We start from the raw sequence: 27343 nt of genomic DNA, 5'->3' as shown, positions 1-27343 counted from the left end.
AACCATGTTCAGCAGCACATCAAAAAGTTAATTTATCACAATCAAGTAGGCTTTATCCCTGGGATGCAGGATCGGTTTAACATATGCAAATCAATAAATGTGATTCACTCCATAAACGGAATTAAAATAAAAAACCATATGATCATCTCAAAAATGCAAAAAAAGCTTTTGATAAACTCCAACATCTTTTCATGATTAAAAACTCTCAACAAATTAGGCATCAAAGGAACATACCTCAAAATAACAAGAGCCATCTATGACGAACCCACAGCCAACATCAGACTGAATGGGCAAAAGCTGAACCATTCTCTTTGAGAAATGGAACAAGACAAAGATGTCCACTCTCACCACTCCAATTCAACATAGTACTGGAAGTCCTAGCCAGAGCAATCAGAAAACAGAAATAAAAGAAATACCCTTCTTGATATCAGCGATGGCTAATAATTTATGGCTAAGTCCTCAAAAGCAATTGCAACTAAAACAAAAATTGATTAGTGGAACCTAATTAAAGTAAAACACTCCTGCACAGCAAGAGAAACTGTAAGGAAGTAAACAGACAACCTGCAGAATGAAAGAATATACTTGCAATCTATGCATCCAACAAAAGCCTAATATCCAGAATATATAATAAACTTAAAGAAATCAACAAGTAAAAGATGAATAACCCCATTAAAAATTGGACAAAGGACATAAACAGATATTTCTCAAAAGACAACATACAAGCAGCCAACAAACATGTGAAAAAGTGCTAATCAACTCATTATCGGAGAAATACAAGTCAAAACCATAATGAGACACCAGATCACACCTGTCCAAAAGGCTTTTGTTGAAAAGTCAAAAAATAACTGATGTTGGTGAGGTTACAGAGAAAAAGGACACTCAGACACTGTTGGTGAAGATGTAAATTAGCCCAGCCACTATGCATTACAGAGAGTAGTTTGAATACTTCTCAAAGACCTAAGAGTTTAACTATCATTTGACGCAGCAATTTCATTAATGGGTATATACCCAAAGGAAAATAAATTAGTCTATCAAAGGACACATTCACCTGTATGTTCTTTGCAGCACTATTTACAATAGCAAAAACATGGAATCAACCCAGGTGCCTATCAACAGCAGTTTGGTAAAGAAAATGTGTACATATACACCATGGAATACTATGCAGCCATAAAAAATGAAATCATGTCATTTGCTGCAACATGGTTGCAGCTGGAGGCCATTATTTTAAGCAAACTAATGCAGAAACAGAAAACTAAATACTGCATATTCTAACTTATAAGCAGGGCTAGACATTGAATAAATGCTGACATAAAGATGGGAAAAACAGACACTGAGGACTACTAGAATGGGGAGAGGGGAAGGGAGTAAGAGCTAAAAAACTACCCATTGGATACTATGCCCATTACCTTAGTGAAGGGTTCAGTCATACCCCAAAACTCAGTGTCATGTAATACACGTTTTTAATAAACTTGCACATGTATTCCCTGATTCTAATATAAAAGTTGAAAAAGAAAAAAACATAAAAAAAGAATAGCATAATATTTGCATATAACCTACACACGTTCTCCCATATACTTTAAATCATCTCTAGATTAGTTATAATATCTAATGCATTGCAAATGCTACATAGTTCGCTATACTGTTGTATTATTTAGAAAATCGTGACAAATGGAAGAAGTCTGTATATGTTCAATACTGATGCAACCACTCATTTTTTAAAAAATACTTTTGATCAATGGTTGATGAAATCCATAGATGCAGAACCCATGGGTACAAGAACTGACTGTGTTGTTCACCTACCAGGCTACTTTAGAAGAAAGTATGCTACCTGTTTTCTCACATTTAATAATTTCACTGTATTTGGCAGACAATATCTACATTCAATGCTGGGTATTGCATTTTAAGAAGGTCATGGAGGAAATGAAATGTGATCTGAGGGTGCATTCATAATAGTCATATGAGGAAGATTCTGGTGACCCATGAGATTTTTAAAAAGTTCACATGTGGAAGATGTAATAGGCTTATTTGGCTTACTGCAGAGGATCAACAGTTAAAATGTCATGGAAAGGTAATTTTTTTTCTTTCATTTAAAGTCTAAAAACTCGTCTTAAATGCAAGCTCTACACAAACAGGGAATAGTGTATTTGTGTGTGTGTGTGTGTGTATGGTGTGTATTTTTAAAATTTCCAATGCTCAGTACATATCCACATATGTTGAAGTGATCAAAAATGTTTGTTGGATTAATCAATTAATTGATGGACAACTGAGACAGTTTCCTTGAAAAAAATAAAATTGAAGTAGTTAACTGTGAAATGGGCTATCCATATATTCCATAACTCCATTTTGTTACAGCATAAATGTGCCATCTCTTTATAAGCATATATTCTTGTAAAAAAGATGATGAGAAAATTTTAAAACATAAGCAATCTGCATAAAAGATTCAGAATATCTCAGATCTCTGAGAATTTACATTTTAATAAAATCATGAAAATAGCACAATGGCTAAAAATATTTTATTATTTCTCAGGCAATCTGAATTTGTCGAATTATAAAACTAGATGGAGGGTAAAAAATTATCTTAATTTTATTTTGTAGTAGTGTTTATTATTCCTGAATGATATAATTGACCAAAATATGATTTCATTTCTCATTTACTTTTATTGGCTTAGTAGTAACTCATTCTACATCAAAGACAAAAACATTGAGGATACAAAATAGTGGCTACTTAGGAATGTTTTTGGTTTCACATGTTTTTGGTTTCACATTTAGGTACCTAGCATCTTTTGAGCAACCCACTTGTATGCATATATACAACCAATGTTTGCATCACAGGTCGCCTGCACCCCTAGCAGCAACCTACAAATGCAGTGAGAATACCTATCAATTCTCCTAAAACAAAACAAAACATCCTGCCTTTTACTCATAATCCAAGGTCCCTTCTGCCCAATGCCCCAAATATGAAGTATTTTATTACAGTACGTGAGATGATTTTCTATTCAAAATACTTCCTGAACAGTAATAGATTTTCAAAATAAATTAGTAACATTCCATGTATTTGTAAGCATAACAATGTGAATTTAATGTTGTATATAAAAACAAAACTATCCTTCTAGAGCTTTCTGTATCCCTCATTTCAAACTGTTGTATTTTTCTTAGTTTTTTGAAATTTGGTTGCAGAAAATTGAGTTAGTTATACTCTGAAGAGTATCATCAGCACAATCAAGACCCTTTGCTGGTTGATATTGACTTTCCCCTTTCATCCCTGATCCCTGTACCCATCACTTTTCTCACCTCTTAGATTCATTTACAGCAAGTCCTTGAACAACATCATTTAATTCAATGTCACTTTGTAATAACCGTAATAAGAAAACAAATGGATTCCCACACAAGACCACTCTCCATGCAGAATTTGCATGTTCTCTCCATGTTTGCATGGATTTTCTCCAGATATTCCAGTTTCCTCCCACGTCCCAAAGATGTGCATGTTCTGTTAATTGGTATGTCGAAGTTGTTCCAGGATGGGCTGGCGTGGGTGTGTATGTGAGTGTGCCCTGTGATAGAATAGCATCCTGTCCAGGGTTGGATCCTGCCAGGATAGACTCTGGCCACCCATGCCCTGAATTGGAATATGCAAGTTAGAAAATAAATGAATGAATGAATGAATGAATACAAATTATTTTAAAATAAAAATTAGTAAACTATACAATAATCCTACAAATGCTCGACAATAAACAGTGAGGTACAAAAGCCCTCATGGAGCCATATTTGTGATTGTTTTTGAGCTGCATAGTGGTAGGACGTCCTGATTAAAACTTTCACTTTGCAACATTTATTCTTTGATTTAACCCATGACCGCTATGACTGCTGTAACTCACTGATTCACCAAAAATTAAGTAAATAATTACTTTACTTGTTTCTATTCATCTTTCTTATACGTATGTATAGCTCACATTTATTTCAATGTTTAATATAAGAAGTGTTTGGGGCCTTTATTTAGAAATTTGGTGATGTTTTTGTGTCCAGAAATATGCCAGAAATAGCAACTTAACTCCTGTTTATATCAATTAGCTTATGGTAAAATTGGTTCCAATATTCATCATTTTGCCTAAAGTCACAGTTTCCAAGAAGTTACCGACAACAGTAAGTGAGGACTTACTGGATATCCCCGCAAATTGTATTGAATTTTGGGAATGTCAGTGTTTTAAACTTTTTCCTTTGCCCTCTTCTTCCCCCCTGGATTTTCTGTCTTTTCCATGTTGATTTTCATGGATTCTTTCCCTAATCTAGATGTCAATCTAGAATATTTATTTATTTTATACATTGTAAATATCTTTTCTGAATTAGTCAACAACTGTTTAACTTTGTCTCTATTTCTTCATTAAAATAAACCTTTAATTGTAATGTAATCAAATCCATAATTTCTTTTTTTCTCCCTCCTTCCTCCCTCCCTCCCTCCCTCCCTCCCTCCCTTCCTTCCTTCTTTCCTTTATAGTTTATCCTCCTAGGGTCATACTCAACATGATTTTCCACTACCTCCAGGTAACACTTATATTCTCATGATTTTTTTTCCTTCTTAATAATTCTACTTTTCACTAATTTAATGTGTGGCATATGGCCTTAACTTATTTTTTCAATATTCTGATGCTATCTACCAAACTGTGTTTCCCCAAATCATTTATAGTTCAACTTTATTATAAATCAAATTAACACACATGTTTATAACTGCATGTTTGTGTCTATTTCTGAGCTCTCTGTTATGTCATCTTTCTTTCATCTGTGATGAATACCACACTGGTTTCATTATTATTATTATCATGACTTTGTACTTATATTGTGTCTAGCAAGATGTGTCCCCATTCCTTGCTTTTCTTTCTTTCTTTTTTATTTTTTTTTTGATGGAGTCTCACTCTGTCACCCAGGGCGGAGTGCAATGGTGCAATCTCGACTCACTGCAACCTCCCCCTCCCAGGTTCAAGCAATTCTCCTGCCTCAGCCTCCCAAGTAGCTGGGATTACAGGTGCGTGCCACTATGCCCAGATAATTTTTGTATTTTTAGTAGAGACGGGGTTTCACCATGTTAGTCAGGCTGGTCTCAAACTCCTGACCTCAGGTAATCCGCCCACCTCAGCCTTCCAAAGTGCTGGGATTACAGGCGTGAGCCACCACACCTGGCTGCTTTTCTTTAAATAAAAGTAACTAAACTATTCATAGACCTTTATTCTTCCATGTATATTTTTGAATACAGTGGCTAATTTCTTTAAAAAAAAAAAGGAAGTCTGAATTTTGTTTGAAAATAAGATGGCATCTTCTTGAAAATTGTGGCCATGCATATTTTAGATCCTTATCTGTGTGGTCCATTAATTCTGCTGACTAGGTTTTAGTTTATTGCCTTTCTTTTACAACACTGGAACAATCTCTGGTCTCCTCAGGGGCGGGGGTTTAAAATCCAGGCCCTAGCTTGTATACAGCTGATGAGGTTACAAATGGAGCAGGATACAGAGGGCCTCTGGTTTAACAATCAAGACTTAACCATTCTGGTTTAATTTTCTCCCTCCTCCCAACACTGCCATGTGGCTGGCTGACAGGCTGGGGTCTCTGCTCTCCCTACACCGAGTGTCTTCCAGTGCCTACCAGAAGTACTCCTTTCCGATATTAACTCTTCAGTGTTTGGCTAATGCAGCTACTCTCTCATTCTGAGTTCTGCTTCTTCTTAACATTGTTAATAATGATACCATCACAGGTCCTGTTTATTAGTTCAGATTGTCCATAAAACTTAATAGTGCTGGTAGTTTGCAGCATCAATAAAATACATTTTCAGACTTCTGTTTCCCAAGGTGTGTATATGAGACTGCTCCCAAAATTCCTGGCTTGCCACACAATGCAGTAAAAGCAAGGTAGGAAATTTATCATGCTAGAAGAAACTACTTGCTTCCTCTCACAGGTTAGAGGATGATTGTACACACTTTGTAATAAAATATGACACACAAAAAAGAGATTTTCATCCATGGGAAGAAGTAAGAATTAAGTGTGCAGACTGGGGATTTACTTACTTCACATCCTTGCACAAATTATTTAACCTCAGTTTCCTCATCTACAAAATGGAGATACTGATAGTACCTATCTATAGGATGGTTGTGAAATTAAATATGTGAGTGTGTGTGTGTGTGTGTATTCATCAATTTAATTAATATTATATATTTACAATTTCTACAACTGTGCTTGGCACATAGTAGGCACCTCATAAATGTTAACTATTGTTATTATTACAGTTGTCTTCAGAGGTTCCAGGGGCTTGAAAATTCAGATTCCTGAAATCCACTATTATTATATATTCTTTCCCCCTATTTTCTGCCCTCTAGTGGTAATTTCAAATATGATTTCTGTGCTTGATTTTATTTGGAATTCTTGTTAAATAAAGACCCACTTTTTTCCTTTTTTCCTATTAAGTGCAAGTTATTTTAAGTTCAGTCTTGTATATGCAGGACTGCAAACAATTTGTAACCGTTTCTCATGGAGTTGGTAAGGGATAGTTTGAATCTTGTAAAGGAAACTTTCTTTTAATGCCTATTTGTATTCATTTCTCTAAGACACCTCCATCCTAAAACAATCCCTTTCTCTAGAAACAAGAGCTCTTCTTTCACCTGACCTTACCTATGAGATTCCACCCCATTTTAAGTCCTGTAAAAGTAATCAGGTATTTTTACATTAAAGATATTACTTTCTGAAAAGTAAATATTTATCTCCAAAAATAACAATGTTCCAAAAATGGAATGTTAGCATCCATAGCTATTGAAAACTTTAATCGAATAATAATAACAATCCTTACTTAAGCTATTCATTGCCTCAGAAAATATGCTACGTCCTTCCATTTCTTTAACACAGCCTCTTTCCCAATATACTTATACTTACTCTGAATGTAGAGATAAAGATGAATATTCTTAACTGCTTTATAGTGAAGACAGATATTGTCAATTAGTGTAAACAACAACTGCCAAACCCCCTCCCCATTCCCCTTTTCTCCCAGTCTCAGAATATAAATAATAGCAAAGACTTAACTGGCATTCTGAAGAGCAGATTTGTGGTGCTTTTACAACATATATTTTTATACACAATTTTAAAATATCATCTTGGGCCATATAGCTTTATCAAATAGATATATAATGAAGACAGCTTTACTAAACTGTAAGAAATTAACTGAGTTATCAGGACTTGAAGTTTACATTTATAAATCAGGAAATTGAGTCATAAAGAACTGAAGAAGGACTGCACTGAGTAATAAACTATAAGATTTAGTGAGTGGATCAAGTATTCAAATATGATCTTGAACTACTTAATGTATCTACGTATTATTTTGTCCTTGATCAGGATAGGATCATAAATATGAGAGGGGGAAAGAACCCCCAGGCTATGTAAGTCTGTTCAGTTTGACTGATAACATTCGTTTCATGCTCCCTAAATCTTTCTCTAAGTAGTCTTTCCTTGAGCTTGGTGTAGAAAGATGCTTAATATAAATAAAATTTTATTACCTTCCCCTTCTGAGTTAGTGAAATAATGAAGACATGTTCTCCCGATGTCAGAAATGTAAGATGTAAGATTGCAATCACACCTTAGAATCAGAAAGCTAAAAGTGGAATAAAGGGAAAGCCTACCTACTCTCTTCAGAAAGGAGATGCTGGAGACACCCTAGGCATAGACAACAATGACTTTTCAGGAATATACCTAAACCTGATACATAAGCAGCTATTATTGAGCAACAGCACTGGTATTAGAAATTAATGTCTTGGTACCAATTCATATTAACTGTTTTAAATCCCAAATGCTTTATGCACAATCAATATAAGCTAATATAACTGTGCTAAATTTCTATTACTTATTAAGATTTATTTGATAAACTTAATTTCCTTTAATTCCATTGAATGGAAGAGCTGGCAAAGGCAAAAAAAAAAGAGGAAGAGATTTTGAGATTTTACAAGAATTCAAAGAAGGAAGTGGAAGAAACAGAAAAAAAAGGGAAAAAGCAAGTGGCCTAATCTTCTCAAAATAATAAAGCTAAAAGAAAATGTAAAAATTAATGCATTCAAACACATTTTATTAGTACCTTTTATAAGTAAGGTAATGTGCTAAGTCCCAGAGATAAAATAAGCAAAAAGACTTCAAATAACTTGCCTTGTGGAGTCAGTTAACATTTACCAGTGGTAATAACATCTGAGGTGAGTGCTGGAGAATAAGTGAGAGACAGAAAAAGAGTAGTGAAAAGAGTGTTTTAGGTAGAGGGAAATATGTGCAAATGCTGGGAAGTAAGAAAAAGAATGCACAAACACAAGTGAATGAGCAGGTTAAAGCAGCTAAAAGTAATTCAGTGTAGTTGGAGATTAGAGTTGTGGGGGCAGGGAAGAAAGTGATGGAGAAATCCAAGAATAAGGATGAAATCTGGGGCCAGATATTAAAAGATCCCCTAAGGTCTGTTGAAGAGTTTCTACCTTATCACACAGAGATGGGATGGGGTAATACACAGGGGGTTTAAATATTAGTTAACATGTCCGTGTGTGTGCATGTGCATGTGTGTGTAAAATGGATTGGAATAAACGAGACAGAAGAGAAAAAGAAATGAATGTATTCAAGTTATTTAGGAGAAGGAATATAAACAAATTGGGTATTACTTAGCATAAAGTATAAGGGAAAGAAAGGGAGAAGCTATTCATCTGGGGCATGGGCAGATGAGTGAGTGGTGCATCCCTGCCCCTAAAATACAACACACAAAGAGAAGGACAGCTGGTTCGTTGGGAAAATGGGACAGATGTGTTTGGTGATTAAACATCCACTCCACCTTAACTTACAGATGAGGAAACTGTGGTCTTTGTTTTAATTGAAAAAATTTTAAAAGTACCATGCTAAGATGCTAATACTTACAAGGCTTTGGCCTATTAATTTACAGGAAGTCAGGAGATAAAGTATAAATCCTGTCTTGTAATGCAAATCTGCCTGACAGGCCTTGCTAAATTCTTCTTTTTACACACTACTTTGCCATTTATTCATCCATAAACATGTGTTTATCTTTTACTATGGGCTGGCAGCATTTTAAGTGCTGGAGATATATGGGGAGCAAAACCAAAGACAGTCTTGCTTTATGAAGCCCATGTTCAGTCCAATGTCCTAAAGCGAAACTGTAGAATGAAAGTACAAAGGACATGGGGGAGCTGTATGAATCAAAGATTCAGTGCCATAGAGCTATGAAGCAAAATAATAGTAATAATGATACTGCAATCTATTTTTTCCCTCAAAAAGTGAGCCTTTGCTTCAGATTTTATTATAACCAAAAGACAAAAATAATGCCCCTGGGAAGGCAACACCTGAGCTCACCACTGGATGTATATTAAACTGTACAATGCAGTGGGATGGAAATGTTATATTTTAACAGTTCTAGTGAGTGATATTGCTTTTAAAAAAAATCTCAATTTAAATGTATACACTATGCACACATTTCCAAAGTTATCTTCTGGGAGAGTTGAAGGATATACAGTATATACTCATACCTTGATACACTCACCATGACTAAATGTTTGTTTTGGGCTTTGTGAAGTTGTGTGATGAGTGCCCTAACATATTTTTTCCTCTCAACTTTAAATAACATACAATATTGTGATTCATGCATATATCCAATTTTCTGGTAAGTGTTTTATGGTCTCATATATGTCCTCCTTAGAGTGTAGCTCACTTGTAAGGCTTAAAATCATGAGATTTTTATGTCTTTTTTTTTTGCTTTGTTTTTGTTTTTGTCTTTTTTTGTGGGATATTTAAAAGTGGGTTACATATTTTAAAGACCCTGACAAGAAGCATCCTAAGGGGCCCCACTGCATCAAGTATTAGAGTTCTCCAGAGAAACAGAACACATAGCATGTGTGTAGTGTGTGTGTGTATACACACACATATATAATATTGCATATAATTATCATATATCCTATTTTATATATTCTTATTGTACATATATTTTATATAAACACATTTATTATAAGGAATTGATTCACACAGTTATGGAGACTCACAAGTCTCAAGATCTGCAGGGTGAGCCAGCAAACTGGACACCCCAGAGAGCCGATGGTGTAGTTCCAGTGTGACTCCAAAGGAAAACTGGAGACTGAGGAGAGTCAGTGTTATAGATCAGCCTAAAGTGTGGTAAGATTGAGACTCAAGAAGGGTCAATATTTCAGTTCATGTTGAAGTAAAAAAAAAAAAAAATGCCAATGTCACAGTTCAAAGAGTTAGGCAGGAGGAATCTTCTCTAATCAGGGGAGAATCAGTCTTCTTATTCTATTCAAGCCTTCAGCTGATTGAAGGAGGCTCAGACACATTAAGGAGGAAAATCTGCTTTACTCAGTCTACTATTTCAAAAGTTAATCTAATCCCCAAAGACACATTCACAGAAACACGCAGAATAATGTTTCACCAAATATCCGGGAACCCCGTGGCCCAGTCAAGTTGACACATAAAATCAACCATCACAGTGACATCATTTCCTTTGGCTTCTCAAGCTAATAAAAATGCCATAAACATTAAAAGAAAAGAGAAAGAGTTGACACAAAAACCAACCCACTGACAAATATTTACTGCATATTTTCTGTGTGATCAGTGGGACTGCTTTCCAGGGTCTGGTGAGCTGGCTGTAAATCTAATCCATGCAATAGGACATTAAGGTAGGAGGACATGTTTCACTGGACAGTTGGGTAGGATTTAAAGAGGAAGACGTAAGCAGATAAAATAAACAAGAATAAAAGTAAGGATAAACATGACATCTTAGGAAGTTTATTTTACCTGGACAGAGATTGCCCATAGAACAGTGATGAGCAGTAAAGATAGATAGATGTGTGGTAGTCAATTTATAAAAAGGCTTGAAATAGGTAGTGTACAACTTTATTTGTATAATGCTTTGCACTTTTAAAATTGCTTTGACATACATCGCCTTTTTTATCCTTTTAACAATTTTGTGAGGTAAATAGTATCATTATTAATTTTATTTTAAAAAATTTACTATCATTTGTAGAGACAGGGTCTCACTATGTTGCCCAGGCTGCTCTCAAACTTCTGGGCTCAAGTGATGCTCCCACCTTGGCCTCCCAATGTGCTGGGATTACAGGCATGAGCTACCATTCCCAGCCCATTATTAATTTCATAGTGGAGAAGGCTTAATATTGTGCGGGTGTTAAAACTATCATCGGATTCCTACTTCAGGCCCTTTTCCCATTGAAGTTGCAATGGGTAACTATTACAGTTCTTGAGCAAGCGGTGCCAGTATAAAAATAGTGCTATAGAAGGTTTGAACATGGTTTATAAGTTGCATTGAACAATGAGACCTAGGAAGCCAAGAGGGCAGCAGTAATGCCTTGTACTTTTCTGGGCATTAAGCATTACCATGGAATAAAGGAACAAATGAAAATTGGCATACGTGGAGTCATGTTTAAAGGAAGAAATAATAAGCTTTAAAGTGTGAGATCTATGAAAATGCATGTAGTAAGATACAGAATACAGGCATGGAGACAAGAGGAGATAGATACCCACTTCAAAAACTTTAAAAGATATATTTTATCTATATTTAAGTTTACATTCAGCTTAGTTTTAAAGCTAACCAAAATGTTCAATTTCATTTTCCTCTTACATAGTCTTACATAGTCTTGTGGAATCCCCCACAGTTCAGGGGAAACAACTCTCAGAAGAGTTTATTCTCATATATTTATGTCATTTCATGGAACAAGGAATAGATTCAAACAATTTCAATAAAAGGAAGGGTATTTGTTTCTATCTTAGTTTGTGCTGCTATAACAAAATGCCTGAAACTGGACAATTTGTAAACAACAGAAATTTGCTTCTCACAGTTCTTAGGTTGGGAAGTTCAAGATCAAGGGGCCAGTAGGATCAGTGTCTGGTAAGGGCTGCTCTCTACTCCCCAGACGACACCTTCAACACTGTATCCTCTGGAGGGGATGAATATTGTATCCTCACATGGAGGAAGGGATGGAAAAGGGGAGGCATCTCTCTGAAGGTGTTTGTAGAAGGGTACTAATCTCATTTATGAAGGCAAAGCCCTCAGAGCCTACTCACCTCCCAAGGGTCTCATCTTTTCATACCATTACCCTGGGGGTTAAGTTCCAACATATGAATTTTGAAAGGAAACATACATTCAAACCATAGCAATTACTATGTCCAAAGCACTCCTCTTTTTCTTCTATACCTCCTTTTCTTCTTTTATTTTTAATTTTTGTGGGAACATAGGAAGTGTATATATTTTGATACAGGTATGAAATGTAAAATAAGCACATCATGGAGAAGGAATTACCCATCCCCTCAAGCATGTATCCTTTGGGTTACAAACAATCCAATTACACTCTTTAAGTTATTTTAAAACGTACAATTAAGTTATTACTGACTATAGTCACCCTGTTGTGCTATCAAATAGTAGGTCTTGCTCATTCTTACTATTTTTTTGCACCCATTAATCATCCTCCCACCCCTGAGCCCTCCACTACCATTCCCAGCCTCTGATAACCAGCCTTCTATTCTATGTGTCCATGTATTCAATTGTTTTAGTTTTTAGATACCACCAATAAGTGAGAACATGTGATGTTTGTCATTCTGTGCCTGGCTTATTTCACTTAACATAACGATCTCCAGTTCTATCATGTTTTCACAAATGATGAGATCTCATTTTTTATGGCTGAATAGTACTCCACTGTGTATAGGTACCACACTTTCTTTATCCATTCATCTACTGATGGACACTTAGTTTGGTTCCCCATCTTGGCCATTGTAAATAGCGCTGCAACAAACAGGAGCGCAGATAGCTCTTCGATATAGTGATGGTCTTTCTTTTGGATATATACCCAGCAGAGGGATTGCTGGATTGCATGGTAGCTCTATTTTTAGTTTTTTGAGAAACTTCCAAAATCTTCTCCATAGTGGTTTAGTAATTTACTTTCCCACCAGTTGTGTACGTCTGTTCCTTTTTTTTCCACATCCTTGTCAGCATTTGTTATTGCCTGTCTTTTCTAAGCCATTTTAAGTGAGGTGAGATGATACTTCATTGTAGTTTTTATTTGAATTTCTCTGATGTTTAATGATGTTCAGCACCTCATCATATGCCTATTTACATATAATTGCTTGCTATTTGTATGTCTTCTTTTGAAAAATGTCTAATCAAATCTGTTGCTTTTTTTTTTTTTTTTCTTTTGAGACAGAGTTTCTCTCTTGTTGCCCAGGCTGGAGTGCAATGGCACAATCTCAGCTCAGTGCAACCTCCGCCTCCCGGGTTCAAACAATTCTCCTGCCTCAGCCTCCCGAGTAGCTGGGATTACAGGCATGTGCCACCATGCCTGGCTAATTTTGTATTTTTAGTAGAGACGGGGTTTCTCTATGTTGGTCAGGCTGGTCTCAAACTCCCAACATCAGGTGATCCGCCCACCTAGGCCTCCCAAAACGCTGGGATTACAGGCATGAGCCAACACGCCCAGCCATCTGTTGCTTATTTTTTAAGCAGAGTATTAAGTCTTTTCTTATAGAGTTGTTAGGAATCCTTACATATTCTGGTTGTTAATCTCTTATTAGATGGATAGTTTTCAAATATTTTTTCCCATTCTGTGGGGTGCTCTTCACTTTGTGATTGTATCCTTTGTTGTGCAGAAGCTTTTTAACTTGATGTGATCTCATTTGTCCATTTTGACTTCGCTTGCCAGTGCTGTGGGGTATTACTCAAGAAATTTTGCCCAAACCAATGTCCTAGAGAGTTTCCCCAAAGTTTTCTCATAGTAGTTTCATAGCTTTAGGTCTTCGATTTAAGTCTTTAATCCATTTTTATTTGATTTTTTTATGTGGCAAGAGATAGAGATCTAGCTTCATTCTTCACCATATGGATATCTAGTGTTCCCAGTACCATTTACTGAAGAGACTGTCTCTTCCTCAATTTATATTCTTGGCACCTTTGTCAAAAACGAGTTCACTATAGGTGTGTGGATTTGTTTCTGGGTTCTCTATTCTGTTCCATTGGTGTATGTGCCTGTTTTTATGCCAATACCATGCTATTTTGGTTACTATAGCTCTGTAGTATAATTTGAAGTCAGGTAATGTAATTCCTTCAGTTTTATTCTTTTTGCTTAGGATAGCTTTAGCTACTCTGGGTAATTTGTGATTCCATATAAATTTTAGAATAGTTTTTTTTTATTTCTGTGACATGGATTGCATTGAATCTGTAGATTGCTTTGGGTAGTACGGCCATTTTAGCAATATTAATTCTTCCAATTCATGAACATAAAATACCTTTCCATTTTTTGATGCCCTCTTTAATTTCTTTCATTAGTGTGTTATAGTTTTCATTGCAGAGATCTTTTATTTCTTTGGTTAATTCCTTGGTATTTAATTTTATGTGTGGCTATTATAAATAGGATAACTTTTAAACTTCTTTTTCAGACTGTTCACTGATGGCATATAGAAATGTCACTGACTTTTGTATGTTGACTTTGCACCCTGCAACTTTACTAAATTTATTCATAAGATTTAAAAGTTTATTAGTGGAGTCTTTAGGTGTTTCCAGCTATAAGATCACATCATCTGCAAACAAGAATAATTTGACTTCTTCCGTTCCAATTTAGATGCCCTTTATTTCTTTCTCTTGTCTGATTGCTCTAGCTAGGACTTCCAGTACTATGTCAAATAAGAGTGGTGAGATTGGGCATCCTTAATGTGTTCCAGATCTTAGAGGAAAGGCTTTCAGTTTTTCTATATTAAATATGATACTAGCTGTGGGTCTGTCACATATGGTTTTTATTATGTTGTGTACATTCCTCTTATGTCCAGTTTTCTGAGGGTTTCTTTTTTATCATGAAGGAATGTTGAACTTTATTCAATAGTTTTTCAGCATCAATTGAAATGATCATATGGATTTTATTCTGTATTCTGTTGATACGATGTATCACATTGATTGACTTGCATATTTCGAATCTTCCTTGCATCTCAAGGATAAGTCCCACTTTATCGTGATGAATGATCTTTTTAATGTATTGTTAAATTTGGTTTGTTAGCATTTTGTTGAGGATTTTTACATGAATATTCATCAGAGATATTGGCCTGTACTTTTCTTTTTTTTGATGTGTCTTTGTCTCATTTTGGTATTAGGGTAAAAATGATCTCATAGAATAAGTTTGGAAGTATTCCTTCCTCCTCTTTTTTTTTGGAAAAGTTTGACTAGGATTAGTGTTAGTTTTTCTTTAAATGTTTGGTAGAATTCAGCAGTAAAGTCATTGGGTCCTGGGATTTTCTTTACTGGGAGATATTTTATGACAGCTTTGACCTTGTTATTTGTTATTGGTCTGTTCAGGTTTTAGATTTCTTCTTGGTTCAATTTTGGTAGGTTGTATGTATCTAGGAATTTGACTATCTCTTCTAGATTTTCCAATTTATTGGCATATAATTGCTCATAATAGCCACTAATGATCCTTTGAATTTCTGCAGATTCAGTTGTAATGTCTCTTTTTTCAATTTCTGGTTTTATTTATTTGAATGCTCTCCCTTTTTTTCTTAGTCTAACTAAAGGTTTGCCAATTTTGTTTAACTTTATAAAAAAACCAACTTTTTGTTACATTGATCTTTTTTATGGTTTTCAATTTTATTTATTTCTGCTCAGATCTTTATTATTTCTTTTCTTCACTGATTTTGGACTTGGTTTTCTCTTGCTTTTCTAGTTCTTTAAGATACGGCATTAGATTGTTTATTTGAAGTTTTTCCTCTTTTTTGATGTAGGCATTTATAGCTATAAACTTCTCTCTTAGCACTGCTTTTACTATATCCCATAGATATTGGTATGTTGTGTTTCCATTATCATTTCTTTCAAGAAATTTTTCAATTTCCTTCTTAATTTCTTCATTGCCCCACTGGTCACTCAGGAGCATATGTTAAATTTCTATGTTTGTATAGTTTCAGAAATTCCTCTTGTTATTAATTTCTAGTTTTATTCCATTGTGATCAGAGAAGATGCTTGATATTATTTCAATTTTTAGCATGTTTTAAGGCTCGTTTTGTGACTTAACATATGGTCTCTCCTTGAAAATAATTCATGTGCTGAGGAGAATAATGTGTATTCTGCAGCTCGTGGATGAAATGTTCTATAACTATCTACTAGATCTATTTGGTCTATAATATAGATTAACTCTGATATTTCTTTGTTCATTATCTGTCTGGGAGATCTGTCCAATGCTGAAAGTGGGGTGTGGAAGTCTCCAGCTTTTATTATATTGGGACCTATGTCTCTCTCTCTCTCTCTCTCTAGGTTTAATAATATTTCCTTTATATGGGTGCTCCAGTGTTGGGTGCATATATATTTACAATTGTTATATCATCTTGTTGAATTGACCCCTTTTTCATGATATAGTGACTTTCTTTGTCTCTTCTTATAGTTTTTGTCTATAGTTGTTGATGTAAGTACAGCTACTCCTGTTCTTTTATGGTTTTCATTGGCATGGAATATCTTTTTCAGTTCTTTAAGTCTATGTGTATCTTTAAAGCTAAAGTGTGTTTCTTGTAGACAACAGATCATTGGCTGTTGTCTATTGATTGGATAATTTAGTCCATTTACATTCAATGTTATTAATGATAAGTAAGGACTTACTTACTCCTCCCATTTTGTTATTTATTTTCTGTGTCTTTTTGTGTGTGCGTGGTCTTCTCTTCCTTCTTTCCTTCCTTTCTCTCTTCCTTTAGTAAAGGTGATTTTCTCTGGTGATATGATTTAGTTTATTGCTTTTTATTTTCTGGTATCCATTGTATGTTGTTTGGTTTGAGGTTACCACGAGGCTAGCAAATACTATCTTATAAACCATTATTTTAACCTGATAACAATTTAACGCTGCTTGGATAAACAAACAAGCAAAAAGAAAACTAACAAAAACTACACTTTATTTTGTTGTTTTATTTATATCATATAGTACTTCCTTTGTCTTTTTTTGTTGTTGTCGTTGTTTTGAGACGGAGTTTCACTTTTGTTGCCCAAGCTAGAGTGCAATGGTGCCATCTCGGCTCACTGCAACCTCCACCTCCTGGGTTCAAGTGATTCTCCTGCCTCAGCCTCCTGAGTAGCTGGGATTACAGGCATGTAACACCACATTTGGCTAGTTTTGTATTTTTACTAGAGACAGGGTTTCTCCATGCTGGTCAGGCTGGTCTTGAACTCCTGACCTCAGGTGATCTACCCACCTCGGCCTCCCAAAGTGCTCCTGGCGTGAGCCACCGTGCCCAGCCTGTACTGCTTATGTCTTGAAAAGTTGTTGTAGTTATTATTTTTATTGGTTCATCATTTAGTCTTTCTACTTAGGATAAGAGTAGTTTACACACCACAGTTACAGTGTTATGATATTCTGTGTACTTACTATTACCAGTGAGTTTTATACATTCAAGTGATTACTTATTGGTCATTAATGTCCTTTTATTTCTGATTGAAGGACTCCCTTTAGCATTTCTTGCAGCACAGGTCTGGTGTTGATGAAATCCCCCAGAAATCCCTCAGCTTTTGTTTGTCTGGGAAAGTCTTTATTTCTCCTTCACGTTTAAAGGAAATTTTCTCCAGATAAGCTATTCTAGGGTAAAAGTTTTTTCCTTCAGCATTTTCAATATGTCATGCCACTCTCTCCCAGGCTGAAAGGTTTCCTTGGAAAAGTCTGCTGCCAGACATACTGGAGCTCCATTGTATGTTATTTGTTTATTTTCTGTTACTGCTTTTAGGATCCTTTCTTCATCCTTGATCTTTGGGAGTCTGATTATTAAATGCCTGGAAGCAATCTTCTTTGGGTTAAATCTGCTTGGTGTTCCATAACCTTCTTGTACTTGGATATTGATATCTTTCTCTAGGTTTGGAAAGTTATCTCATATTATCACTCTGAATAAGCTTTCTACCCCTATCTCTTTCTCTACCTCCTCTTTAAGGCCAGTAACTCTTAGATATGCCCTTTTGAGGATATTTTCTAGATCCTGTAGGTGTGCTTCATAATTTCTTATGCTTTTATCTTTGTCTCTTCTGTGTATTTTCAAATAGCTTTTCTTCAAGCCCATTGATTCTTTCTTCTGCTTGATCAGTTCTGCTATAAAATAACTCTGATGCATTCTTCAATATACCACTTATACTTTTTACCTCCAGAATTTCTGCTTGATTATTTTCAATTATTTCAATCTCTTAGTTACATTTATCTGATAGAATTGTGAATTCTGTCACTGTGTTAACTTGAATTTCTTTGAGTTTCCTCAACACTGCTATTTTGAATTATCTGCTTGAAAGGTCACACATCTCTGTTTTTCCAGCATTGATCCCTGGTACCTTATTTAGTTCATTTGGTGAGGTCATGTTTTCCTGAATGGTGTTGATGCTAGTAGTTGTTCTTTGGTGTCTGAGCATTGAAGAGTTAGGTATTTATCGTAGTCTTCATTGCCTGGCCTTATTTGTAGCTGTCCTTCTTGGGAAGCCATTCCAGATACTTGAAAGAACATGGGTGTTGTGATCTAAGCTGTGACCTAAGCTTTAAGGGGCACCCCAAGCCCAGTAATGCTGTGGTTCTTGCAGAATGGTAGAAGTACTGCCTTGACAGTCTTGGACAAGATTTGGAAGAATTCTCTGAACTACTAGGAAAAGTCTCTTGTTTTCCTTCCTTACTTTCTCTCAAACAGAGTCTTTCTCTCTGTTCTGAGCCACCTAAAGCTGGGCTGGCAAGACACCCCTGTGGCTACCACCACTACGACTCCACTGGGTCAGACCTGAAGCCAGCAAAGCACTGTCTACCCGAAGCCTCCTGTAGCCATTCTCTGGCAACTGCCTATGTTTGTTCAAGGCCCTGGAGCTCTAAAACTGCCAGTGTCAAAGCCAGCCAGGCTCGTGTCCTTCCCTTCAGGGTGGCAAGGTCCCCCAGATCCCAGATGGGTCCAGAGGTGCCATCTGGGAGTCAGGGACTAGATTCAAAAACCTTAGAAGTCTACCTGGTATTCTTTTCTATTGTGGCTGAGCTGGCGTTTAAACCCAAAAGATGCAGTCCTTCCCACTCTTCTCTCCCCTTTCCAAAGGCAGAGGAGCATCACCCCCTAGTCACCACCACCCTCAGGCCAAGAGGAGTTCTGCCAGACTACCACCAATGTTACCAATGTTCCCTGAAGGCCCAAGGGCTCTTAAGTTAGCTTGTGATAAATGCTGCCTGGCCTGGGACTCACCCGTCAGGGCAGTGTCCAGGAATGTCATCCAAGAGCCAAGTCCTGGAATTGGGGATCCCAAGACCCCACTTGGTTCTCTGTCCCTCTGCTGTGGCTGTGCTGGTACCTAAGGTACACGACAAAGTCCTCTTTACTTTTCCCTCTGCTTTTCTGAAGCAGCAGTTTTGCCCCATATGCACCACAGCTGGTAATGTACTGAGTCTCACCTGAAGCCAGCAAATTTCAGAGGCTCACCCAAGGCCCTTGATGTAGTGCCTGGGTATTGCTGCTGATTATTCAGGGCCCAAGGACTCCTCTGTTAGCAGGTGATAAATATTTCCAGGGCTGGGTCCTTTCAAGGCAGTGAGTTCCCTTCTGGCCTAGGGTTTGTCTAAAAATGTCAGATGGGAGCTAGGGCCTGGAACGGGGGCTTCACTACTCTGACTGGTGCCTTATCCTGCTGTGGCTGAGCTGGTATCCAAGATGCAAAACAAAGTCCTCCCCATTTATCCCTCTCCTCTCCTCAAGCAGAAGGAAGGGTCTCTTTTGAAGCTGTGAGCTGTGCAGCCTAGGGTTAGGGGAGGGGTGATGCCAGCACTCCTTTGGCTGCCCCAGCTGATGTCTCAGTATGTCACGTGCCCCCCAAGTGCACTGTCTCTGGACCTAGTTCAGCACTAGGTCTTGCCTAAGAGTTGCAGTCTTTATGGTCTAGACTGCCTTTCAAGTTTACTTGGAGACATGTAGTGCTGTAACCCTAGGTGGCAAGGTTTGGGGGAACTCAAATTTGGACCACTAAGCTCAGGAATTCCCCTCTGGCTAGGGCTGGTTTAAATGCTCCTTTCATGGGTGGGTGTCAGGTGAGTTTGGTCTGGTTTTTCTTTTTACTCTAATAGGACAGAACTGAGTTCAATGCCTCACAATTATGTGTCCCCCCTCCCACAGCACCCAGAGATGCTCTCGACAACACGCAGCTGCTGGGGTGAAGGGGAAGTGAAGGATGGGGGTGGAGGAGGGGTAGCATTGGTGATTCAAGGCTGTTTTTGCTATCTTTTCTGCCTTTTTCAGCAATATGAAGTTAAAACCAGGTACTGTGAGTGCTCACTTGATTTTTGGTTATTATGAAGGTGTTTTTTTCTGTGTAGATACTTGCTAAGTTGCTGTTCTTGTAGGGGTAGGGGGATGATGGGTGGAGCCTTCTGTATCACCATCTTGACTATGTCTCTCTTTTCTCACAATAATAACCTTCCTTATTTTACTGCTAAATGTATCTCACAAACACCTTTGGACAATGTTTAGATATAGACTCTTTTTGTTTGTTTTTTGGTTTTTGGTGCAGACAGAGAAAGTTGGAAAATAGACCCTTAGCTAGAAAGGACTAAGAGAGAAGACTATTCTGAGAATTTAAAGATCAAAATGAAATAAATCATTAAATATCTGCCTATTTTTAAGTTACACGATGAAAACAAACTCATTTGACTCTTTCTGTCTCCTTTCTGGTTTGATACACAAGCACATGCTGTCTTAGAAAAAGGAATTGCCTAAATGAATAATATAAACTTTATTCTTATAGACTCTTAGAGCAAATCCAGTCAACTAAGAGACTCTATCATCATCATTAGAGCAAGAGTCAAAAGGGACATTGACTTTTACAGGTAGAGTTTATACTGACCAATTCTCTGATTTATTTTGTTTGACAGTTAATGTAGTGCTCTGAGAATTTAGAGAAGAAATAAAATACTCATTCTTTATTTCTTATGTAAAGATTCAGGGAATGAAAAAGAAAGCACAAGATAAATATGACATAGTTTCTACTCTTCAAGAGTTTAAAATATCTTTACTTATAAAGTGAGTATAAGAAGAGTTTTGCTATTTTTTAAGCCAAACCTACTGCATATGAACAACAAGTACAAATTAACAGTTTATCTAAATTTATGGTGTAAGTGCTGGGATGACTTAGAAAAGTCACAACCAATATCAAGCGGGGTTGAGGAGAAAATGTACTTAATGCACTTTAATATGGAGCTGTCTCATAGAAGGGAACAGATCTGAAATTGCAATGGAGAAGGACAAAACAAGCTAGTTGAGTGTAAGAAACAGCTAGAATATTGAGAGGTGTGGGTGGGATTAAGGACTGCTGCATGATTAATAAATATTCTCAAACTCAGTGGAAGTAAAAAAAAAAAAAAAAAGAAAAAGAAAGGAAAAAAAAGAAATGCCTTTGGGCAATATATCACAAGACTTCTACAGAATCAATATACTTCAAAATGAAACTGAACAAAAAAGCCAAAACTTACATATTTTTCACCAACATAGAGAAATGGAGATTCTTTCTAAAAGTATGACATTTTGGTTTTTTAAAGAAAGAAAGAAAGAGAGAAAGGGAAAGAAAGAGGAAGGAAGGAGGGAAGGAAAGAAGAAAGGAAGGAAGGAAGGAAAGAAGAAAGGAAGGAAGGAAGGAAAGAAGGAAAGAACATTTAACCCAATTAGGTCAAATATTTTGTTACAGAAATTTAGTTCAACTTCAGAGGATCTTTCTTGTTTCCTATTCCCAGGAAAAATAAGTAATACAACTGCAAGCAAATCTTAACATAGAATGTATTTTCTTCCTCATTGCCTTATGCCTAATTTAATCATGTGCAGATCATCTATTTCACCTACAAAACAAATTTGTTTTGACCTTTTTTTCAATATATTTCAGAAATAATACACTATTTGGGATTTGTATTTGATTGGCTATATTTAAATTTTTTTGAAAAACTACTTACTACATGTGAAAAATATTCCCTCCTCCCATTGTAAGCTAAATTTAAAATTGTTCAGGTGGTGCTGTCATCATTATGCATATATGAAAATCGTCACTTTTTTTACAAGCCTTATAATTTTTCCTAAAATACTGACTTTCTGCTGAGATGCTTCAAATGTAGATATACCACATTTCCGTTTTCCTTTACCCATCTGCTAATTATAAAGATCAAACTATAAGTTTTATCTAAATAATTAGAAGCAAAGTCTATACATTAAGAATGTAGAACCTGAAGAAGGAAGAAATGAGTAAGTGAATAAATGATGAATTGTTTTGTGTCTGTGTGGATTTTGTGTCTATGTGAATTTTTTCGTGTCTATGTGGACTTTTTTCTAAGTGAACTCTGAACAGCTGTTTTATAACAGGGATGAGGGAGAAAACCAGGGCAGACTATCCATGTAGCAATAATTGAAATAGCTAATATTTACTACATTCCACCCTCTTTTCTAAATATTTTACACACATTCACATGCTTAATCCTCACAAGGACCAGAGGTAGATGCTATCGTCATTCCCACTGTGCAGATGAGTAAACTGCGGCATTTAGAGGTTAGGCAATTTTCTAAGGTCATGGAACTTATAAGTGGTGGAGCTGGGATTCGAGGCTAAGGCATGTGACTCCAGAGGCCAAAATTGAAACCACCACTCCAAAAATGAAATATACAGAGAAGGAAGCCTATTACTGAGTACTGATCATACAACCATCTGACGACATGCTACATTCATCTACATTGGTGCAAAGCAGGTGTCTACCCCAGTTAACTCACATTTCTTCTTAACTTTCTGTCAGCAACTAACAAACCCTAGCATATAAATTTTACATTTTCTAAATCATTGTTCTTCTCTTATATGGGAGACCTGCTTCAGTTTTTGAATTTGTTTCTTCTTGATGAATAGGTAAATCAAACTAACCAGCAAGGACTCATCTTTCAAGATTCTCTGGCTAGGACTCTGAAACCATATTAACCTAACTCTTCGATATAGATCATCTCAACTAAGTATCATTTCCAGGAAGCTGTGCATCATGTTGGGTGCTTTCACTGTGTCTGAAACTTACTAGTTGACATGTCAAAACCTTAATTATCTTTAAAACTCTTGCTAGGATGCAAACTCCTCAATGAGATCTTCCTTCCCTATATTGCATCCATCCCTTCTACATGCTATTAGTACTGCATCGTCACTACGGATTTGCATTTTTTATATGTTGTTCTCACACTGGGTTCTCCAGTAAGTAAGTAAGATCATTAAAAATAATCATGGTATTTTGGAATGCCCTGGTCTGAGAAAAGTGCCTGGCATATATTAGAAGCATCGCAAATGTTTATGAAACCACATTGAAATGTGACTGCTATGTCAGCATTGTTGCAGGCTGGCAGGACTTTATCCAACTACCTGTACAACTTGCTTTTTAGCTAGAGTATGATTTAAGTCATACACATTGAGAAAAAATTCCTGTCATATTTTCCCCAAATTGTCCACAAAGCTATATTCTTCTAGTATATTTTGTCTCCATATACTCTTGTGACATTTTTAGTTTTACTTTAAGTCACATTTTTAATTGATTTATTAAATTTAGGAAGAAATCTACAAATTAAAAGCCATTACATATGTACAGTGGCACATTTTATGTGGTGCACATTTTAAAAACATTATATTTTAGCAGTATAGAAAACAGCATCTAATTTTATCAAAATAAGCTTGCTAGTCATTGTCATTCCCATTAAGAGGATAAATTATCTTTTCAAATAATTCTTAAAGATATACAAAATGCAACTTCAATTTTTAGCAGGATGGTTGATTAAGATAACTAGAAACTCTAAAAGTGTAAATAACTAAATGTAATATATAACATGGTTAACATATAACAAAATGGGTTGGTAACAATTAACAAAAAGTTTTAAATGCATAGCTACGTTTTCAACAAAGAAAAGGAAACCTGTAGGTACCAGAAATAAGATGGAAACCAAAAACCAAAGGGTAAGCATGCAAGCAGAACCTGAGGCGATGTACTTTTCCTCCCAGTATTTTCAAAACTCAAGTTGTATTTACAAGATGAGACAGAGGACAAGCATGGCCTATGCAACCTATGCATGGCAAAGAATGGGAACTGAGAGAATGGAGCAGAGCAGGTACCCTCAAAAGTCTACACATTTGATAGATGATTAAATTTTCTAATTGCCTAAAATCACAGGAAGATAGCAAAGAAGTTTGTCTGTCTCTGTCTAGGCTCTATGTTTTAGACGTATATATCTCCAAAGAGAAATTTTAGTCCTATGGCTATCCCAGGTTTGAGGTTAAAATGAATATACTGTTAATTTTAACAATATACATCATATTATTCCTAAGACAGGGATTACCATTAAACCACCTGGTAAATCTACTTCAAAGCTGTTTCTTAAAGACAGGCCACAGTGTTCTCTCAGATAAAATGTAGGGAAAAGCCTCAGTAAAATAAAGTAGCAATTAAAAAAGAAAACATGGAAATCGCAGAAATAAATTACCATGAATTAGATTAAGCAAACACTATAGAAAGATTAGAGTCTTGGCTGGGCACGGTGGCTCACACCTGTAATCCCAGCACTTTGGAGGGCTGAGGTGAGTGGATCACAAGGTCAAGAGATTGAGGCCACCCTGGCCAATATGGTGAAACCCCGTCTCTACTAAAAATACAAAAAGTAGCTGGGCGTGGTGTGCACCTGTAGTCCCAGCTACTCAGGAGGCTGAGGCAGGAGAATCACTTGAACCCAGGGGGCGGAGGTTGTGGTGAGCCGAGATCGTGCCATTGCACTCCGGCTGGTGACAGAGCAAGACTCTATCTAAAAAAAAGAAAAAAAAAAAGATTAGAGTCTCAAGAATGTGAGATATAGAAAGATAATTTAAATGAGAATATAGAAAAATACATATCAGTGTACAACTTTTTTTAATGCACAGAGGCATAAACATGGCTGCACCAACAGGTAATTTTCCTATAGGGGTATGGGGAGGAAGAGATCAGACTAGACAGGAAAAGGAGGATCAAAGGTAAATAGGTAAATTAGGGTAAATGAGGTCATGATCTATGTAAAGGAAACAGTTTGAAGAATAAGAATATTGTAAAAATAACCCAATTTTGGTGCATATTATAGAATCCTGAGAAATCAGGTTGAGTGGATAGAATGAGTCAATTTCAGTAGGGTAAGCTAGGCTGAAGTAAACATCTTGGTTGGTTTCCAACATCCATCCCATTACTTCTCTACTAAGTAGCTGTATGATTTGGGAATGCAATTCTATTCAAGGTGGGCTTGACTGGTCCACCCATCCCCTCCCCAAATCATGTCTGACCTATAAGACTTTAAACCCACCCACAACTTATTGGCACCTTGTGCCAGTGTAGGCCCTCTTGCTCTATTTCTCCCCACATTGTTTTCTGGAATTTATAGTATCCAGTTGAACAACAAAAAAAGACAAGCACAAGTGAAGGGCTCAAAAATATTCCTGCTGCCTTAAAAGCAGTACATGTGTAGTAGCATAACAGACATTTAGAATTCTGATTGGTGTAATGCAGAGGAAGGAAGTAAAGATAGGATGAGTAATGTGTTCATAAATGTTTAACAAAAGGGGAGAGTCCTGATTTGTAGCCTGTGATGATCCCATCGAAATGGGAGTAAACACTCTCACCATGGCTGATTTCAAGATTTAAGTAGTTTAACAAGCAACTTTCAAAATTCCTGATAATGCAGCTCTTGACTTGACAAACCATTATGAGCAGTCTGGCTCTCATGCACCATAGCTCTCAACCCACCTTTAGAAGATAGCAAAGTACCACTTCAGATGTTCTCTCACCAATGGATTATCCATCGCATTTTTCCAACTGGTTGTATTAGCCTATGGATGACAAATATTCTTCTCAGATTCTAGCAGTAGAGTTACTGTCATCCTAGGTGTTAATGGTAGTGTGAGCATTGTCTTTTTCTTATTTTAATAGAAAGTTTGGAAACAAAAAAAAATACAGAAGCTATTTTAAGTTAGACTCCCAAACTACAAAATACTAATAATATTTATAAATTTATTCATTAGTTTAACAAAAATGTATTAAGCTCTTTCTAGGTACAGTTTTAGGTTGCAAGGGTAGAGCAGTGGGGGAAAATTAAAATAATTAAAACCAACTAACCAAACAATTTCTTCTCTTCTGCTCCCCTCTGAGTTCTTCCCTAATTTGGTTTATAAAATATCTCATTTCTTTCCTTTATGTAAATGAAATATATGGCAGTATATATACACATAATTCTGAATTTGAATTCATAAGTGATGGAAGGAAATAAATGTGCTTGAAAAAAATATGACAGACCATAGATAAACATCCACAAATAGAACTAAAAAAAAAAAACTTGCGTAAGTTTTTGCAAGTCACAAGAACAGCAACCCATCTAGTAAATAAAACAATTGCAGCACTTTTTGTAATAGAAAAATATCTGAAAGATCCATCAATTGGAAAATTGATAAATAATTGTGCTGGATCCATATAATAAAATGTTGCATAACAGAGAAGATGAATAAATCCAAGCTATAGATACCAATATGGGTGAACCTTACAAATTTAAAGTTGAACAAAAACAAATGCCAAAAATATACACAGCACAATGTTTTAAATATATAATTGTAAGACCTTTAATCTATGTATAAGTACACATGTGTGTGGATAATCAATCTTACATTCATGGCAATAATAAAAAATTTCATAAAAGTGGTAGCCTCAGAAGTTGAAGAAAGCATGATGCTATTAAAGAGTTATAATCGGCTTTAGCTGTTTTCAGATTGATTTCTTTTTAAGCTGGATAATTAGCATACAGATTTTTTTATCCTACTTTTTCTTTTGGAACACATGAAGTGTTTTATACATATTTTATTTATTTTTTAAATTAATTTTTCAAATTTATTTTTTAGACAGGGTCTTGCAGAGCCCTGGGTGGAGCACAATGATGCAATCATAGCTCCTTGCAGCATCGAACTCCTGAGCTCAAGCAATTCTCCCACCTCAGCCTCCCAACTAACTGGGACTACAGGCATGCTCCACCATGAGTGTCTAATTTTTTTTTTTTTTTTTGGTAGAGCCTGGGTCTCACTCTGTTGACCAGGCTGGTGTCAAAACTCCACTCCTGGTCTAAAGTGATCTTCCCACCTCAGCCTCCCAAAGTGCTTGGATTACAAGTGTGAGCCACTTAGCTGGGCTGATAACATATTTTAATAATAGATTTTAAATATATTGACTAAATTTTTGTAGCTTCACAAGTATTTGTGTGGTTTGAACATTAGTAAACAGTGTATTATCTTATGCATAAAAACCTTCATTAGTAGTTC

At 36.1% G+C, this 27343-nt stretch overlaps 1 protein-coding gene across 4 annotated transcripts in view; it reads right to left on the bottom strand.

The window, feature by feature from the left end:
• LINC02798 (long intergenic non-protein coding RNA 2798) overlaps nucleotides 1-27343 on the bottom strand; it is a 67558-nt gene that overhangs the window by 9278 nt on the left and 30937 nt on the right. The window contains exons 2-3 of one of the 4 annotated variants that reach the window (XR_007066533.1): nucleotides 25788-25870; nucleotides 23534-24822 (exon numbers count right to left, since the gene is read on the bottom strand). The exons of 2 other annotated variants lie outside the window; for them this stretch is intronic. The gene's annotated coding sequence lies outside the window, so the exon portion shown is untranslated. Of the gene's footprint in view, nucleotides 1-23533; nucleotides 24823-25787; nucleotides 25871-27343 lie in introns of those variants that run through there. One more of the 4 variants, XR_007066532.1, reaches the window with a different exon arrangement.

The sequence above is a fragment of the Homo sapiens genome, chromosome 1 (assembly GCF_000001405.40).
Source record: "Homo sapiens chromosome 1, GRCh38.p14 Primary Assembly".
Lineage (NCBI taxonomy): Eukaryota > Metazoa > Chordata > Mammalia > Primates > Hominidae > Homo > Homo sapiens.
Note: the sequence above shows the minus strand (reverse complement) of the source record. Positions and strands in the feature narration are given on the sequence as shown.